The sequence below is a fragment of the Homo sapiens genome, chromosome 11 (genome assembly GCF_000001405.40).
Source record: "Homo sapiens chromosome 11, GRCh38.p14 Primary Assembly".
Lineage (NCBI taxonomy): Eukaryota > Metazoa > Chordata > Mammalia > Primates > Hominidae > Homo > Homo sapiens.
Window position 1 is genome coordinate 86,416,803 of NC_000011.10, and position 13,854 is coordinate 86,430,656.

Genomic DNA, 13,854 nt, shown 5'->3' on the forward strand with positions numbered 1-13,854 from the left:
GTCTTGTGACTCATAGAAGGCCACTTTCTTTCAGAGGGGATAATTTAGTCAGGGTGATCCAGACAGGACTGCTAAGCTATTTATACTTGTTTTTTTTCTTTTTGCTCTTATTTTCAAAAGTAACAATTCATGCTCATTAAAAGAAGTCAATTGAAGGTTAGCCGGGCACGGTGGCTCATGCCTGTAATCCTAGCACTTTGGGAGACCGAGGCAGGCAGATCACTTGAGCCCAGGAGTTTGAGACCAGCCTGGGCAACATGGTGAAACCCCGTCATTACTAAAAATACAAAAATTAGCTGGGCGTGTTGGTGTGCGCCTGTAATCCCAGCTATTCGGGTGGCTGAGGCACAAGAATGCTTGAACCTGGGAGGCAGAGGTTGCAGTGAGCTGAGATTGCGCCACTGCACTTCAGCCTGGGCGACAGAGATTGCCTCAAAAAAAAAAAAAAAGGTTAATAATCTCCCCTACTAAGTAGCCAATACATATGTGCATATTGCTTAAATAGGAAAATTTTTTAAATTTTTTTTGTAAAAAATAATTTAAAAGTAGGTTACATATTAACCTTAATTATTTATAAAAAAATTTAAACAATTTTTCCTTTTTAAGCAATATGCACATATATTTTTCCTTCTACTTTTGTAAATGAAATAGTCTATGAGATCTTATATATTACTCTGCAAACTAATCTTTCTTTAACCTAGCAATGTCATATACAACTCAGTACATATATATGAGATTCATTCTTCTTTAATAGCAGCATATTATCTATAATATAGATGTATAATAATTTAACTTTTGCATTATTGATGAACATTCACTTTGTTTCCAGATATTTTGTATTAAACATTTTTAATATATATTTTTATACTGGTTCTTTTGTTTCTATCAGATAAATTCCCAAAAGTGGGGCTGCTGTGTCCAATGTACGGTACATCTAATTTTCCTTTTTTTTTTTGTTTTTTTGAGACAGAGTCTCACTCTGTCGCCCAGGCTGGAGTGCAGTGGTGCGATCTTGGCTCACTGAAACCTCTGCCTCCTGGGTTCAAGTGATTCTCATGCCTCAGCCTCATGAGTAGCTGGGACTACAGGTGCATGCCACCACTCCTGGCTAATGTATGATACATTTGAAATATTACCAGAAACTGACAGTTACATTTCTAAGAAGGCATAGCAACTCGCTTCTCAGCAATGTTGTGAGAATGCTAGTTGTCCCCTGCACAATCTCTGCCTCATTTTCTTACTTTCTGGGCATTTAAAATTATTTTAACCTATCCTTAAAAAAATAACATAATAATGGCCAACAAGCAAATGAAAAAATGATTAACACCACAAATTATTATGAAAGTGCAAACCACAATCACAGTGAGATACCATGTCACATCCATCAGGATAGCTACTATGAAAAAAAATAACACGCGTTAGTGAGAAGTAGAAACCTTTGTGTACTGTTGGTGCAAACATAAAATGGTACAGTTGCTATGGAAAACAGTATGGTGGTTCCTCAAAAAATTAAAAATAGAACTACTGTATCATCCAGTAATTCCCCTTCTGGATATGTATTCAAAAAAATTGAAAGCTGATCTCAAAAGATATCTGTACAGCCATGTTCATAGCAGCACTTTTTGTAACAGCCAAGAAGTAGAAGCATCCCAGGTGTCCACCGACAGATGAATGGATAAACAAAATGTAGTGTGGGTATATATATACACTGTACAATGGAATTGTTATTCACTTTTAAAAAGGAAGAAAGTTCTAACACATGCTACACTGTGGATGACCCTCAAGGTCATTATGTTAAGTGAAATAAACAAGTCACAAAAAGACAAAATACTGTATGACTCCACTTATATGAGTTATCCAGAGAAGTAAAATTCATAGAAACAGAAAGTAGAATGTTGGTTGCCAAGGGCTAGAGGAGGCAGAAATGGGGAGTTGTTTAATGGGTGTAGTTTTAGTTTTGTAACGTGAAGGCGTTCTGGAGATTGGGTGCATAACATGAATGTATTTAACACTAAGTAACTGTACACTTGGAAATGGTTAAGATAGTAAATTTTGTTATGTGTTTTTTTAAACCACAAAAAAAAAATCTACGAAAAGAAAAATAACTTATGAAAAAAGTAATAGGTACTCTTCAGTCATTGAGCTCCAGTTACATGATAGGCACTGGCACTTCCTGTGTATCATTTAGTCTTTATAATAACCATACAATAGCTGTTCAATCAATGCTTGTTAGATGAAAAGGTGTGCCGTTTAAGGAAAAAGTGAGACAGTATAGAGGACATTAACTGATTTTTATTGGAGGATCCTGACACCCAGTGGTCGTTGGTACCTGTAACACAAAGCCCTTCAGAGCAGGCTACATCAACAGTTACATTTTGTGAAGCTCCTTCTAGATTTCAGTGAGAACTGACAGCAAAGGTTTCAGTTTAGCAAGAAATAGACACATAATCAGAACCAGGCTTAAGGTGATTCACAACAGTAGTGATGGAGTGTTTGGAGACCAGTGATAGAAACACAACACTGGGAATATCTCCCTTTGAAGACAGAGATTATACTGCAGTCACTTCTTCGATGACATGGCCTTCACCAAACATTCCTGTTTTATTTTCTTGCCTTCTTCACAATGTTAATGTTTTCTCTATTTTCTTTTCCCTTGCTTAGTCACTTGTGTTTATTTTCTCTTTTTGTAGACTTTCATTTGTATACCTATCTATTTTGCCTTGTAATATGTCTGCAGTGACTGGTAGGCTGAGTACTGGCAGCTGAGAGGCTGGACTAAAAGGAAAGAAACAGAGTATAGGAAATCCATTTGGGATGATTCTTCAGATAAGTTAAATTAGCCTCAAAGGAAATTAATGGTTTTACAGGTTGAAGTTGTTAACTGGAAAAAGGTTTCAATCCTATTAAATCAAACCAGGATTGAAGATAAAAGACCTTTGATCCATAAATTATTTGAGAGCTAGGAATTTCAGTATGCTTTTACAGTGTTCATGCTTTTTAGTATATTTCAGAGTAGTGAACAAAACCAGAAGGTTTTTTTTGTTTAACATAAAAGGAATGGGGCTCCCAAATTTGGTGCATGCTCTTCCAAGTATTATGGAGCCAGGCTGTTCTTTTCTCTCCAGGCACTTGGCAGACAGAACCGCTGAGCTGGAGCGAGTAAATAGAGTCAACCAATGCTTACAGGAGGACTGGGAAAGGAGTGCTGCGATGAAGAAGCAGCGAGACCTGGAGGACAAGGCTTTTGAACGGTAATGCCTGATTGGAACCCCAAAATTCTCCTGCTCCTTGTGGGACAGCAACAGGTTTCAAGTGGAACTCCACTTGATTAGCAGTGGCTGCCTAGAGAACCTTGTGGAGAAAGCAAGTCTGTATTCCATGGGAAATACTGCCGTGATTGATTAGAAATGTCTGTTACAGACATGGGATTGGAGAATGCTGAGTTGTATGCTAGGTATTTACTAACCGTGCTCTAATATTTGCCTCTGCTTAGGGTGGCTTTATTTGCTTTTTGTGGAGAGTGAAGATTCTCTTTGGAAATAACTATTTGGAAGTAGGGGGAGTGAGTTTCCAATCTGAACGTTTTCAAGGCTTAGAGAATCGTTATTTAAGAGCAGGGTCAGGGGTTGTAAGATTGGCAATTGGAAAAGTAAGATGCCTATTATGGAGCCAACCAAGAGCATCTTTCTGAAATTATTATATGCCTGCCCAATCCTCAGCTTAAATATTCACATCACTACTGTTGTATTACATCTTGAAAAAAAATTAAAATACGAATGTAAGGTATGATTTTATAGCATGTTAAAAATGTGATGAAACAGATCAAGTCTATACAATCAAGTTATTAAAACCCAAATATACCAAAATAATAGTTTAAATTGCCAATTATCAGTTTTTAATCATGGATAAAATTTGTAGAATGGATCTTGATCTGTAACTCTCCTTTTCCTTTTAGGTTTTCTTGTAAAGCATTTCTCACCTGTCTTTCTAATGAGTAGAACCCATATTTTGTGACAATGAAAGTATGAGTGATGACGTGGAAAATAGGTTCCAAAGGAGAAGTGGACTCATTTGGCTTAGAGAAAAGGAGAGGAAAGGGCAGTTGGGGATTTCAATTTTCTCAGTGATTTGGGAAGGCAGGTAAAAGTCAGTGAGATTAATGCCAGGGAGATTTTAGTTGTGTCTAGGAAGAGTGCTTGGCCAACATGGTGATAAAGGACTGAGGAGACACAGGAAATAATGTTGAGTGGCAGGCTAACAAATCTACTCCTGGTATATCGTGGAGCAGACTTCTCTGAGGACCTAGGCCAAGTGTGGACAGAGACTTGAGCACGCAGCAGTAGCAAGAAGGAATTGGTTGGCACAAAAAGAAAATAAAGCAAAAGTAAAACCAAAGTCCATATGTATGCAGTTAGCACATGATACTCTGTTCCATTACCAAGCCAGGTAGGTCTTCCCCTGCTCACTTCCAAGGTAGTTTATTCTTTTTTCTTTTAAGACTGCCCTTGATAATCCTTTTTTTTTTGAGATGGTGTCTCACTCTGTCGCACAGGCTGGAGTGCAGTGGCGCGATCTCGGCTCACTGCAAGCTCCGTCTCCTGGGTTCATGCCATTCTCCTGCCTCAGCATCCCGACTAGCTGGGGCTACAGGCGCCTGCCACCAGGCCTGGCTAATTTTTTGTGTTTTTTAGTAGAGACAGGGTTTCACCGTGTTAGCCAGGATGGTCTTGATCTCCTGACCTCGCAATCCGCCCGCCTCGGCCTCCCAAAGTGCTGGGATTACAGGCGTAAGCCACCGCGCCCGGCCGATCATCCTTCTTAAACAGAATTCTGGCTGGATGCCATGGCTCATGCCTGTAATCACAGCACTTTAGGAGGCTGAGGCAGATGGATTGCTAGAGTTCAGAAGTTTGAGACCAGCCTGAGCAAACATGGTGAAACCCCATCTCTACCAAAAGTACAAAAATTAGCTGGGTGTGGTGGTGCACACCTGTCATTCCAGCTACTCTGGAGGCTGAGGTGGGAGGATCGCTGGAGCCCAGGAAGTCGAGGCTGCAGTGAGCTGTGATCGCACACTCCAGGCTGGTGACAGAGGGAGACCTAGTCTCAAAAAAAAAAAAAAAAATCCACCCATGGAGAAATTTTGATGGGGTAGAGGAGCACATGAGGGACTGTTTTGCGTAACGAAGAAAAACCATCAAAGGGGAAAGTCAGTTACTACTGCCTCTTTATTTCTGCTTTTAGTTGCTTTTGTCTTCCTCTTTGTCTCCACTCCCTCTCCTGCCCTTAACTCTCCAGAGGCTTCTGGCCTCCTGGGATAGTTCATTGTAAGTCCTCTCAACTCTCTGCTGTTGTTAGCTGATAACCAGCAACTTAATGGTTGATCTGCCTCTCAAATACTGTCTCCCAGGAGCTCAACAGGTAGAGGTGTAATCCACGTGGGAAAGCAGTCAACAGAGAGGCTTTGGAGCCACTGTCTGCTGGCTGTGTGACCTTCGGCAAGTTCTCTGTGGGCTTGGGTGGTTGAGGCTGGGGAGGGGTAGGGTCAGACTGTTGTGAAGGCACAAGTCGTGGCTTTTTATTTAGTAGAGAACGACAAGCCAGCAGAAGTCTGGAAGCAGGGGATGCCAGGATGGGGTGAACTGCAGCATACAGGCAGAGAACGCAAGGTGTCACTTTTCTTTTGTGTACCTCCTGCCATACCAGCTTCCAAGTTGGGCCTCCAGGAACTCCAGGAACCTGCTGATCGGCATTTGCTCTCCTCTCCTCAGGGCTTCAGACAAGCTGTTTCTCCTAGACCAGTGTGAGAAGTATCGGCGCTGCAAGCAATGCCAGAGGCGCACCTCCAACGTGGGCGAGAGCAACCTGTGGCCCCTGAACAAGTTCCTGCCTGGCTCCCGGTTGCTTGTGTAAAACTCAAAGTTTGGCTCTTCGTTTCCCGGGGAAAGTTTTTATCTTTTACATGTTTGGGGGTGATTGTGAAACTGCGTATTTTTACCTCAGAGAAAAAAATCATTGTTTAGGTTTGGTGCTTTCATTAGATTGCTTGTTAAGCCCTTATTGAATTCACTCCTGCTTTCCTCCCACCCCCAATTATTTCCTATACTAGTTTCTGATGGCAGTGAAGGTGTCTGAATGGTCCTGAGGGCTAGAACCTGCTGCACAGGGGCTGGGAATGGGATCCAGCTTCATTATGGCTGCTGGGGTGCTGCTGACCCAGCCCTGCTGCTGCTCCATGACTTTGTGTACAAAACTTTTTTCATCTGTAATGAATAGTGGCAATAATAAATATTTTTTAAGCGCCTGACTGTGCATGACAATTCATAATGGTACATTTTACCCCTCCCTCTTCCCCCAGTCCTAGACTTTTCCAGAGGGGTATATGTGTGAATATCACAGAGATGGGTTAGACTATTTACCCCCAGGAGGCCAGAACAATGCTCCCTGAGTTTTCTCATTGATGACATACCTGGGACTTTAGTGGGCCTTCCCAAGATATCATTCCCTTGTCCAGCTATTTCTACACCCTTGGAGTAACTGTGCACTGTGAGGTGAGTCTCCCACTACTTCACTTGCATTCATTCTTAAGCTGTAGGTGCTGTTCAAGAGGACTTAACTCCCTGTCAGAGGACTGACTTTCAGTTAAGGTATGGCTGTTCTCAACTAAAAACTTTCTTCGTTTATCTTCATACTTTTGTAATGCCCAACCTTGTTTTTACTAACCCTGTTTTTAGACTCTCCCTTTTCCTTTAATCACCTAGCCTTGTTTCCACGTGAATTGACTCTCCCTTAGCTAAGAGAGCCAGACAGACTCTATCTTGGCTCTTTCACTGGCAGCCCCTTCCTGAAGGACTTAACTTGTGCAAGCTGCACATCCAAGAATGCAATTAACTGATAAGATACTGTGGCGAGCAATATCCACAATTCCCAGGAATTCGTCTGACTGATAACGCCCAAAGCCCTGAGTCTATCACCTTGTAATAGTCTTAAAGCCCCTGCACCTGGAACTGTTTACTTTCCTGTAACCATTTATCCTTTTAGCTTTTTGCCTACTTTATTTCTGTAAAATTGTTTTAACTAGACCCCCTTCCCCTTTCTAAACCAAAGTATAAAAGAAAATCTAGCCCCTTCTTCGGGGCTGAGAGAACTTTGAGCGTTAGCCGTCTCTTGGCCACTGGCTAAATAAACCGACTCTTAATTTGTCTCAAAGTGTGGCGTTTTCTCTAACTTGCTCAGGTACAACACTTTCTTCTCCTCTCCCTGCCCTGTCTGACCAATTGAAGTAAAACAGAGTGAAGTCTAGATTTCTGAAATACAAAAGCTAAGAAGGATGTCTTTTAGACTATTTGCTTTCTGCCCGCCACATCTCTCCCTTGGGAAATAAGGGAAAGTTTTTGTGGGAAGATGTTTGTGAACATTTAAACTTTCATTTTGCCCTACAAATACAAAATAGGAATGTGTTGAGCCCTGAATAATTGTGGAGAAAATATTCACTCAAGCTGATATTGGGCAAATTTTGTTGCTAATGTTATCTTTTTCTATGAAAACAAGCATACCTGCTGATGATCACAATTTTTTGGAACGTCTTCCCTAATCTTTCTCCGTTTCTGCCTTTCATTTCCTCAAAAAATCATTCTATGGAGGGCCAATCATCATTAACCAATATTTAAAACAATAGGCTTTCCCCAAGACTGCCTGACCTGCCTGAATCTATATCTGCTGCACCCTTGAAGTAATTTGTTTCTAATATATAATAAATTACTATAATAGTGTTGTACTAATATATTTTAAAAATATAGAATGCTGGCCGGGTGCAGTGGCACATGCCTGTAATCCCAGCACTTTGGGAGGCCGAGGCGGGTGGATCAAATCTTTTGACGAGGTCAAAAGATTGAGACCATCCTGGCCAACATGGTGAAACCCTGTCTCTACTAAAAATACAAAAATTAGCTGGGTGTGGTGGCACGCGCCTGTAGTCCCAGCTACTCAGGAGGCTGAGGCAGGAGAATTGCTTGAACCTGAGAGGTGGACATTGCAGTGAACCGAGATCGTGCCACTGTACTGCAGCCTGGTGACAGAGCGAGACTCTGTCTCAAAAAAAAAAAAGAATTCCTTGTTAAAGAAAAAAAAGTTAATTTTGGTATGTTCAGGTGAGCAGATTTAACTTCATAGACCTTTTCACTGGAGGAATTGAACTTACAATTTACTGTCATAGGTAGCAGTCAGTACTACAGTCAGACCCTTTAAAAACTATTTTTAAAAATTATATATTGACAAATTATTTGTAATATTTATGTTGTATATATTTATGGGGTATAAAGTGATATTGTGATTTTTGAATACAATGTGGAATAATTAAATCAAGTGAATTAAAATGTCCATCACCTTATTTAACTTTTTGTGATAAGAATATTTAAAATTTATTCTTTTAGTGATATTGACATGTACAGTGCTCATTATATTCACCACACTGTGCAACAGATCTCAAAAATATATCAAAGTTGGCTTGGCGTGGTGGCTCATGCCTGTAATCCCAGCACTTTCGGAGGCCGAGGCAGGCAGATCACCTGAGGTGAGGAGTTCGAGACGAGCCTAGCCAACATGGTGAAACTCTGTCTCTACTAAAAATACAAAAAATTAGCTGGGCGTTGTGGCATGCACCTGTAGTCCCAGCTACTCAAGAAGCTGAGGCAGGAAAATCACTTGAATCCAGGAGGCAGAGGTTGCAGTGAGCTGAGATCATGTCACCACACTCCAACCTGAGTGACAGAGCCAGACTCTGTCTCAAAAAAAAAAAAATCAAACTTTTTTTTCCTGAGGCTTTGTACAATTCAACTATCATCTCGTCATTCCTCCCATCCCCCACCCTCTGGGAACTATCATTCTACTCTCCACTTATATGAGTTGTAGATTCCACATATGAGAACATGTGGTATTTGTTTGTGTTTGGTGTATTTCACTTAGCATAATATTCTCCAATGCTATCCACATATCCTTTTTATGTCTTTAAGATCAACTATTTTTTAGCTTCCACATATGAGTGAGAACATTCAGTGTTTAACTTTCTGTTCTTGGCTTATTTCTCTCAGTTCCAGTTCCATCCATGTTGCCATAAATGACAGCATTTCATTCTTTTTCATGGCTGAATATTATTCCATTGTGTATATATACCACATTTTCTTTATTTATTCATCTATTGTTGGACACTTGGTTGATTCCATATCTTGGCTGTTGTGAATAGTGCTGCAATGAACATCTCTTTTGATATATTCATATTTGACTTCAAATCTTTGGGACAAATAACCAGAAGTGAGATTGCTGGGTCATATGGTAACTGTATTTTTAGTTTTTTGAGGAATCTTCATACAGTGTTTCATAATGGCTGTACTAATTTATATCTCCCACCAACGGTGTACAAGGGTTCCCTTTTTCCCATATCTTAGCCAGCACTTGTTATCTTTTATCTTTTTGATAATAGCCTTTCTAATACATGTGAAGTGGTAGCTATTTGTAGTTTTAATTTTCATCTCTCTAATGACTAGTGATGTTGGGCATTTTTTTGTGTATTTGTTAGCCATTCACATGTCTTCTTTTGAGAAATGTTTATTCAGGTTCCTTGCCCATGTCTCTTTTTTTTTTTTAATAGAGTTGAGTTCCTTACATATTTTGGATATTAATCCCTTATCATATGTATGGGTTGCAAATATTTTTCTCCCAATCTGTAGGTTTTCTCTTCACTCTACTAATTGCTCTCTTTGTTGTGTAGCAATTTTTTATTTTGATGTAATCCCATTTGTCCACTTTTGCAAATGTTGCCTGCATTTTTGGGTCAAATCTAAAAAATCATTGCCCAGACCAATGTCATGTAGTTTTCCCTGTGTTTTCTTCTAGTAGTTTTACAGTTTCAGGTTTTATGTTTATGTCTTTAATTCATTTTGAGTTGATTTTTGTATATGGTGTGAGATAAGGGTCCAATTTCATTCTCTTGTCTATGGATATCCAGTTTTCCCAGCACCATTTATAGAATAACTTGTCCTTTTCCCATTGTATATTCTTGGCACTTTTGGTGAATATTAATTGGCTGTAGATACATGGTTTCATTTCTGGGTTCTTTATTCTGTCCATTGGTTCAAATGTCTATTTTAATGCCAGTATCATGCTGTTTTAATTACTATCAGTTTGTAGTATAGTTTGAAATTAGGTAGTGTGATACCTCAAGCTTTGTTCTTTTTGCTCATGATTGCCTTGGCTGTTTTGTAGTTCCATATTAATTTTAGGATTGTTTTTTCTATATCTATGAAAAATAACATTGGAATTTTGATATTGAACTGAATCTGCACATCATTCATGTAGTATGGACATTTTAACAATATTAATTCTTCCAGTCCATGAACATGGGATATATTTCAATTTATTTGTCTTCTTCAGTTTCTTTTATTAATGTTTTACAGTTTTCTTTGTATAAATCTTTCGCCTCATTGGTTAAACATATTCCTCAGTATTTTATTTCTAGTAGCTACTGTAAATGATATGTTCTCTTGATTTCTTTTTTGGAAAGTTCATTGTTAATGTAAAGAAATGTTACTGACTTTTGTGTGTTGATTTTGTATCCTGCAACTTTCCTGAATTTGTTGATCAATTCTAATGGCTTTTTGTTAAAACCTTTAGGGTTTTTTTCTTTTTGTAGAGATGGGGTCTCACTATGTTGACCAGGCTGGTTTCAAACTCCTGGCCTTAAGTGATCCTCCTGCCTTGGTTTCCCAAAGGGTTGGAATTACAGGCTTGAGCCACCACACTTGGCCTTAGGTTTTCTGTATGCAAAATTATGTTGTCAGCAAATAACAGTAGTTTTATTTCTTCATTTCCTACTTGGATGTCTTTTCTTTCTTTCTTCTGCTTCATTGCTCTAAGGACTTTCAATATTACATTGAACAGAAGTGGCAAGAGTGCACATCCTTGACATCCTTGGTCCAGATCTTAGAAGAAAGAGTTCCAAGTTTTTACTGTTGAGTATAATGTTAGCTGTAGGCTTATTATATATGGCCTTTATTGTGCTGAAGTATATTCATTCTGTAATTAATTTGTTGAGTGTTTTTATCATGAAAGGATGTTTTGTCAAATGCTTTTTCTGCATTTAATGAGATGGTCATATGATTTTTGTCCTTCATTCTGTTCATGTGATATATCACATTTATTGATTTGAGAATAATCAACCATTCTTGCAACCCAGGGATAAATCCCACTTGATGATGGTGAATAATCCTATTAATGTGTTGTTGGATTTGGTTTGCTAGTATTTTGTTGAGGATTTTTGCATCTATGCTCATCAAGGATATTGGCTTGTAGTTTTCATTTCTTGTGATGTGCTTGTGTGGCTTTGGTATTAGGGTAATACTGGTCCTGAAAAGAATTTGAAAGTATTCTCTCCCATTCGTTTTTTTGTTTGTTTGTTTTTTTCTGAGACAGTTTGTAGAGAACTGATATTAGTTCTTCTTTAAATGTTTGGTAGAATTCAGCAGTGAAGCCATCTGTTCCTGGGCTTTTCTTTGGTGAGATACTTTGTATTAATGATTCAATTTCCTCACTCATTATTGGTTTGCTCAGATTTTCTATTTCTTCATGATTCAGTCTTGGCAGGTTGTATGTGTGTAGGAATATATCCATTTCTTCTAGGTAATTCAAGTTTTTGGCATATAATTGTTCATAATAGTCTCTCATGATCCATTGTACTTCTGTGTTGTCAACTGTAATGATTTCTTTATTTCTGATTTTACTTGGGTCTTTTCTCTTTTTCTTTTCTTGGTTAGTCTAGCTAAAGGCTGTTTGATTTTATCTTTTCAAAATATGAACTTTTAGTTTCTTTTGTATTTTTTTTTAATCTCCAGAGCAGAAATAAAATAGAGATTAGATTATTTCTGGTCTGATCTTTATTATCTCTTTCCTTCAACTAACTTGGGCTTAGGGTTTTAAAGAAATTTCCTAGAGGTGTAACTTTTAGTTATTTGTAATTTTCTTTCTTGGTGCAGGCATTTATTGCTATAAACTTTCCTCTTAGAACTGCTTTTGCTGCATTCCATAAAGTTTGGTATGTTGTGTGTTCCTTTTTTTTTGTCTCAAGATACTTCTAGATTTCCCTTTTAATTTCTTCACTGGCACGCTGATTGTTCATGAGCATATTTAATTTCCATGTATTTGTGAATCTTCCAAAATTCCTCCTGTTAATGATTTCCAGTTTCATACCATTGTGAAACCTCTGGTTTAACAAGGTAAAAGCTAGAAAACCCCTGTATAACAAGGTAAAAACCTAATATTATTGTGCATTGGTTGTTAGAAGAACAAGGTAGATTCCTTCTGGTAAGTTTACCATGGCACAGAGAGGGAAAGCTTTTTGAGGAGATGAAGCCCAAGCTGAATTTTAATGACCAACGGGAAAAAGCCAGGTGAAGAGAAGAAGGGGTCATGACAACAGATGTCAAGGCTGTGTGCTCCAGTCTATCAAGACTGAGATGGAGGCATGGTTATATGAATTATATAGATATGAGGTCTAATATGTTTTCTATCATTCAACCATTTTAAGAATCAAACTTTATTATAGTCCTTCACTAAACAGCTGATTTCTGAGCAAGTCTTCATAATTTGGATCTTCTTCAATGATCCTCATTGTTAACTATTATTCTTGTATTAGTCTAACTCTGTAATTAGCCCCGACTTGCTATCATCAAGTTCTGTCTTTTCCAGAAATACAGCACAGCCAGACCAGATTAATGTATCAAAGGTTTCCCTATTTCAGTGGTTTTCAATGTTTTGGACAGTCATGGACTCTTCTAAGAATCTGATGAAAAATATATACTCTTCTTCTAAAAACAGGTATATATTCCTATACAACATTTTGCATGCAGTTAGAAGTTTCCTAGAACCCCTGGACCACAGGCCAAGAATCCCTGTTCTAGATAGCTTTCCTTCACCATTTTTACAGGCTTAGGCTATCAAAAGTAAAGGATTTAATTTGCTTTTGAAAATTCCCTTTCACTTTTCTTTTTTGTTTTTTTCCCTAAAATTCTGTTACTTTGCCTTCATTTTTACATAGTTTTTCTGAGTACACAATTCTATACTGACATTTTGTCTCAGTCCTCTGAAGATATTCTTATTCTCAGGTTTCTTCTCTAACAGCTGTTACAATTTTCTAAAATGTCTAGACTTTGCTTCCTGACCTTCACATGGCCCCTTGCAATAAAGCCCTATTTCTTCTTTCCTTCAAAGGGCTGAGAGAAAATGTCAGTGAAGAATTGTGTACCCAGCAAAACTTTTAACAATGAAGGGAAAATAAAAGAATTTTAGAAAAAAGCCAAAAAAGAAACCTGAAGAAAAAAACAAAATACAGTTTACTAATATTAAGGGAAATGGATTCAACAGTGAGAGATTTTCTAGCATATATAAAACATTTATCAACGTATCGATACCCAAAGGAATCTCCAAAAAAATGCTTCTGGATAAAAGAAAGTAACCTCAGAAAGAATGGAGCTCCAAGAAGGAATAGTGAGCAAAGAAACTGATAACATGAATAAATGTAAACAAACATTGATTTGTACAAACAATAATGTCCAATTTGTGGCGTTAAAAGATTAAGATGCTTGACGACATTAATAGTTAAAGCATGCTGAATTCCTTCAAGAGGCAGGAAAAGATTCTGAACCATGTTTGACTTTTTCTAAGTTAGTTAAGCACTAAAAGAACAGAAACAGGGTATATAATAGACCATCTGTATTAGAGAGGGAGACTCCACAGCCAAAATCGCGGGATTCAAATCTTAGCCCTTGCAAAATTACCTCTTGGGTACTATGCTCACTATCTGAG

The 13,854-nt window shown here is 38.3% G+C and overlaps 1 protein-coding gene across 2 annotated transcripts in view; it reads left to right on the forward strand.

Moving 5' to 3' along the window:
* Positions 1-6,304, forward strand: part of CCDC81 (coiled-coil domain containing 81) — a 48,220-nt gene extending 41,916 nt beyond the window's left edge. For both annotated transcript variants that reach the window (NM_001156474.2, NM_021827.5), the window contains 2 exons: positions 3,126-3,251; positions 5,772-6,304. In NM_001156474.2, coding sequence (NP_001149946.1) covers positions 3,126-3,251; positions 5,772-5,913 — 268 coding nt within the window. In that variant the 3' untranslated portion in view covers positions 5,914-6,304. The remainder of the gene's footprint in view (positions 1-3,125; positions 3,252-5,771) is intronic.
* Positions 6,305-13,854: the final 7,550 nt, after the last annotated feature.